At 47.8% G+C, this 5,965-nt stretch overlaps 2 annotated features.

Moving 5' to 3' along the window:
* Positions 2,016-2,557: an enhancer, noted in NCBI's record as "H3K4me1 hESC enhancer chr18:73072069-73072610 (GRCh37/hg19 assembly coordinates)". NCBI's record gives its function as "activates a minimal SCP1, AML or CMV promoter by ChIP-STARR-seq in naive H9 embryonic stem cells {active_cell/tissue: H9 hESC(naive)}" and the evidence as "EXISTENCE:reporter gene assay evidence [ECO:0000049][PMID:30033119]".
* Positions 2,558-3,098: an enhancer, noted in NCBI's record as "H3K4me1 hESC enhancer chr18:73072611-73073151 (GRCh37/hg19 assembly coordinates)". NCBI's record gives its function as "activates a minimal SCP1, AML or CMV promoter by ChIP-STARR-seq in naive and primed H9 embryonic stem cells {active_cell/tissue: H9 hESC(naive and primed)}" and the evidence as "EXISTENCE:reporter gene assay evidence [ECO:0000049][PMID:30033119]".

Below are 5,965 nucleotides of genomic sequence, written 5' to 3' on the forward strand. Positions count from 1 at the left end.
CTGCGACCTTGCATTTTCTAGCTAGTGATGTTGATTTCCTATCTCTCATTCCACAGTAAAAGGCTTGCATGCAAATGCTTTTGCTATGGAAAATAATAACAACACTAATATTAATAGCACATTAAAACTTGGATAGTCAGCAAGCTGCTCCAGAACCCTGTTGGCAGAGCATGTGTAAGATACTATCATGCGTGAGGGAGGGAGGGTCTTGGGACAGCCTACTCAACACTTTTTTTCAACCCAAGCAGGATTATCCTTCTGGACAGGGTGTACGGGGGCAGGAAGAGAGCTCTGTAACTCGGAGACCATCGTGAGCTGATGAGCACTCATTAACTTGACCTGACGTGAGAATGGGAGCAATTTTCATGCCTGTTTTTCTCCGCTCCTGTGTGTAGGCCCAGCGAGAATGGGTATTCAATGGCCTTTGGGGGAGGTATTTGAGCACAGTTTGTGGTGCATGGCACCACTGATGGGTGCCTTTTCCTTAGAAGCAATACAACGTTTCTTTTTCAAGTGAGCCACCCCCATCTCCAAGGGCTGCAGCCCATCTCTACCAGCATGTCTCTGTTGTCATGATGATGCCGAGTTGAAGGACCATTCCAGGAACGCATGATTCATGACCTTCATTTGGTATTAAGCTTCTGCACATACAGTTTTCCAGAAGCGAACTGTGACATCTAGAGTTCATGAGTGGATGGTTGGTGGGAGAGCCACAGTGTCATGGGCTTTTCTCTTGGCTTTGAACTTCCTCTTATGCCTGTGCCAGACTCTGAGTCTGGCCTCATGTCCACTGGCTTTGTTTCCCATTTTCCAGCTCCTTGGATAAGAGGGCACTGTTTGACTCTGTCCTGCCAAGGTAGCAGAAGTCAGGGGCAGCTTTCAAGGTTTCAATGCCAATGAAGACTTCAGTGGCAAGGTGGCCTTCGCTGGATGTGAATCACACAGGACCCAGGCTTTTAGGATGATGAATAGCTACAGCATGGCCCTCATAGGAAATGTGACTCAGTCGCTGGCGGAATTCTTGGGCGAGGGGGAAAGGTGTCTTGGGATCAGGAGCACATTCCAATGCCGGCTCTGGCTCATAGGACGCTAGAGTGGAGAGACATTAGGGGGTATGTAGCTCAAGTGTCTGATTTTATAGATAAAGAGGAAGAGAGCTGGCGAGCTGGAGGGGCTTCCCTGAGGGCACAAAACCAGGGCTGGAACCAAATTTTTTTGACATCCTGTCCTGTGTTCTCAATATGGCATGTGGAAGCTTGCTGCTTCCTCATTAAATCAAATCCTTTGATGTTGATTGTTCTGAGGTTAAGAAGTTTTGTCTCTGCAGCTGAACTATAAGCTTTATGAGGATAGGGACTTTTTTAGTGTTCTTTAGCATCCTGAAGAAATTTACAGTACAGCTAGGGAAGAGAAAACTAACACATACAAAATCAATAAAGAATCATTGTATACTAAACCAAGTGTTGAGTAGAATGGGGATTCAGAGGAAGGAGATATTTGTACGCACTCAAATAATTGGAAAAACTTAGAATCAGATTTGTCTTAAGAAGTGGAAGGGAAGTAAGAAGATGTCCTAGTAAGGGAGTGCACCTCTGAAGGCTTGAAGACTGGGAGGGGAGTGGAAGTGAGACAACACGCTGGAAACAGAGACCTCCCCAAGGAAACTGTGGGAGACAAGGTTGGAAGGTTAGGGTGGCTCAGGCTGTTAGGTGCCATGGAAGCCAGGCTGAGGGGTCTGTGGCAACTGAGGAGCTTCTGGGAGCTTTTGAGCTGGGGAACAGCAGGTGACACGAGCTGGAGGCAGCATCTGGAGGCAGGTGGAGAGGAAGCAGAGGAGGATGTGAAGAGTGCATTGGGAGCTACACAGAGGGGATTTGTCACAGTGAGGAAGGCTGAGAGCTTGGAGGTCCTCCTTAGATAGCTCTGAGTCCAAATCCAAGCTCCACACTTGCTGGCATGACCTTGGGCGGGGAATATTTTTTCACCTGTCCTCAGTTTACTCTTCTGTAAAATGAGGACAATATAATTTACTCCCAAGGGCTACATGTAATAACATCTATGAAATGCTTAGTTTGGTTCCAAATACGTGGAAAAACACCCAGTCTATGGTGGCCGCATTAGTTTCTTGTGGCTGTTGTAACAAATGATCACAAACTTGAAGGTTGAAAACAATTGAAATGTATTCTCTCCTATTTCTAGAAGCCACTAGTCTGAACTCAGCATCAGTGAGTCGAAATCGAGGGCTGACAGGACCGGATTCCCTCTGGGTGGTCCAGGAAGGAATTCGATTCCTTTCCTTTCCAACACCAAGAGCTGCATTCCTTGTGTTCTGTGGGTCACGGTCACTGCCCCCGTTGTCCAAGCCAGCAGCACAGCCTCTCTGTGAGTCGGCTTCTCTCTGCTTCCATTGCTTGGCTCTGTCTCCTGCGGGCAAAGCCCCTTCTGCCTCCTTCTTGTGATGACACATGCAATTGCATCAGGCCCACCAGCATGGTCCAGGACCACCTCCCTGTGCTACGCTGAGTTCTACAGGTGAGGGCTCTGTTCACAAAGCGCCACACACCTGGCGTCGTAGCACAGGAATTCATTGTCTGACAGCTCTGGGGGTCAGATGTCCCAGATCATGGTGTTGGCAGGGTGGGCTCCTTCTGGAGGATTGGAGGGAGAAGCTGCTCAGACCTTTCTGCTGGCTTCAGGCGGTGGCTGGGGTGGAGGAGGTGAGCAGGTGGAGGAGCTGAGAGGTGGGAGAGGTGGGGGACAGAGAGGGAGTCTAGCAGCACCAGCCCAGAACTTGGGTGATGAGGACAATTAGTCTACATTGGAGGGCCCCATCTCCCGGCAGGACTCCTTCTGTTCTCCAAGGTGGGGGTAGCATTAGCTGAGTGATTTCTTGCGTTTGTCTGAGACTAGAGGGTGTCCTGGCCAGGTTCTCGGGTGTCTGGAATGCTGTCTTCCAGGAGATACTGGGCATGGAGACAAACACGTGTCCATGGCCGCAGGACCAGCTGGCCGTGAGGGGACTGCCTGTGTGGTCTTGCCGCAGTGGGTCCCCGTCCAGGTGGTGCAGAGGGAACGTGGGGCTGAGGTGTCTTCATGGGAGGCCATGTCGGGGGGGCATTCCACGGCCACGCTCTGTCTTCATGTCCTCCAGGCATAAGCAGAATAAACAGATGAACACAGAGAGACTGGGACCAAAGCACTGGTGACAACCCTCTTCCTGATGGTGTCCTGAGTGTGGGAGAGCAGTGACCACCAGTAAGCGTGGGTGTGCGTGCACGTGAGTCACTCACTCATAAGGGACTCTCCGAGTGAGTGTGAGGGTGCGTGAGTGGTTGTGTGTGAGGTGATGAGTGTGTGTGAGTGGTTAAGTGTGTGTGAGTTTGTATGATTTTGTGTGTGTGTGAGGACGTGTGTGTTTGTGTGTGTGGTGATGTGTGTGTGTCTATGTCTGCATGAGTGTGTGTGCATATGTGTGAGTGTGTGTGAGAGAGTCACTCAGACTCTCACGAGCGAGTGTGAGGGTTCATGAGTGGCTGAGTGTGAGTGTGTGAATGGCTGAGTGTGAGGGAGTGTGAGTGTGTGTGAATGGCTGAGTGTGGGTGAGTGTGGCTTGAGTGTGAATGTGAGTGTGTGAATTTGCATATGTGAAGTAATGAGTGCGTGTGAGTGGCTGTGTTTGCATGAGTGTGAGTGTATGGTTATATGTGTTTGTGTATGGGCAAGGTGGTGTGTGTATGAGTGGCTAAGTGTGTCTGGTAAGTGAGTGTGAGTGTGCATGTATGTGAGGGTGTGTGTGAGGTGATGAGTGTCTGAGTGTGTCTGGTAAGTGAGTGTGAGTGTGCATGTATGTAAAGGTGTGTGTGTGAGGTGATGAGTGTCTGAGTGTGTCTGCATGTGAGTGTGTGTGTGTGTTGCAGGGAAGTGGGGGGTCAGAAAGCCTCACTCAGGTAGTGACCCCTCCACGAAGTCAGCAAACGCTCACTTCCCCTGCACCCTGCACACGGGTTGGTGGAACCCATGAATACAGAGGAAATGCACACTTGCACCAAAGAGGAAACCGCCCAAGCCCTCCCTCTGCTCTGTGTGTCTGCGTGTGCAGCTCCCATCCCAGAAAACAGAATCCATCAGCCAGGATGAAGTAAGTTCCAGCCACCAGGAACTCTATAGAGTGGTTCAAAATGGGTAAAACAAGAATATCTCGGAATCACAGAACACCAGCTCCTGTAAGGAGCCACACATTCCTAGAAAGGAGAAAAAACAGTCCTTCTGAAAAAACCCACTTCCAACACCCACATCCCACAGACACAACAAAATAGGAACAGGGGAAAATTCAAGATGGGGGAAAGCCCGGAAAAGCAACACCAGAGAGGGAAGACAAAGAGCAGCGTGACAGTCCACTTGCTGCTGCTCCGGAGTGAACCGTGAGGAATAGTCCTGGGAATTCACGAGCCGCTTTGCCACCTGTGAGAACACCGTGGCTTGGGCTGCTGGAGGAGCTGCTGGGTGCCGAGCAGCACGGCAGCTGGGAGCCTCCATGACCGATGCACCACGGGCCACGTGAGGCCCTGCAAACCCCAGCATGTAAATATACCCAGGTTTATTTACAGCCGTAAGTGCTCAGTATGACTGTCCACATAGAAACATATGCTATAAACACAATACCCAAGAGAGGTAGAATGCTTGGGGAAAAAGGAGAGAAGAAATTCCAACAGCTGGACCCCAGGTAACAAAAGTAAGGGATGGTTTACCCTCTATTTAAAAACCAATGGCATCTTTTTACTAAGAACTCTTTAAAAGAAAAGAAAAGCAAAGGAAAGAAATGCTTTGGGGTTTTGAAGTAAAAATTCATGACCAGGATGCCTTTACTTCCTGTCCCTTCAACCAAGACATCCTTTGCCGGAGTCCTTTATCTGGTGCTTTGTATACATATATTTAATCCTATACAAAAGTGATAGGATGTCAAGAAAGATCTATAATAACACCATTTTTTAATTTCACTTCAAAGACTTGGCAATTTCTGATCCATGTGACATTCACACTCCTTCAGGGTCAAACAACATCTTGCAGCCTTCATAAAATGATTAAATATTTTAAACAGCTCCTGCTTATACCTCCATCGCCCCTCGAGACTGATACTGTTATCGTTTTTGTCAAAGCCAGTTTCCATCCGCATTTGTCATTCCTGCTTGCATTTATGAGTTATCAATCGCCACGTCAAAATGCAAAATAACTGATGTTCTTTGGGCGGTATTGGATGGTCTATCTGGGGCTTTTAATCAATGCTGATTTCTATTTTCCATACCCATACATAAATCTTTACCATTCTGGGCCACATATAATGCGTTTGTACAAAACGCAGTGACAGAAGCAGTGGTTATATTATCAAACATTATACCTCGGGGCTAACTGAGTACCAAGGGCTTTCAAAAGGAACGCTGGGAATTACCGTGCGGGAGACATGACCGCAGTGGAGAATATAAGGAATTGGTTGTTGCCGTTTATAAATCAACATCCTGCTAGCTAATCCCTCTCACTTAAATACAGTCCAGATTCTTTCCCTGATCCTCTGTAACTTAGTCATTTTTTTTCTAAAAGGTAAAGTTTGCATAATCTACACAAATAATAATGAGCTGTGTGTTCTGATTTCTTCGACTTTTCCCCAGGGGCATAAATTCAAACGGCAGCATGGAACTTATTCAGGAATAGCTTTTTTTTTTTTTTTATTACCTATACTGGAATTTTCCATGTTATGTCTCACCCCCAGTTGATCTAAGAGAGAATTGGTTTTGCCCTTTCAAAGGGCATTTGCCTAGTTGAACAGCAGTCATTGCAGAAATCATTCAAACAAGACATTAGTGCCCAGCAGATTTCAGTACATGCGGGTGCCCAAGGCTGTGGGAACTCACACAGTACCTTTAAAATGAAGCAAGGGAGTATACGCAAGCTCAGAGTGGAACGCAGCACA

This window comes from Homo sapiens, chromosome 18, assembly GCF_000001405.40.
Source record: "Homo sapiens chromosome 18, GRCh38.p14 Primary Assembly".
Classification (NCBI taxonomy): domain Eukaryota; kingdom Metazoa; phylum Chordata; class Mammalia; order Primates; family Hominidae; genus Homo; species Homo sapiens.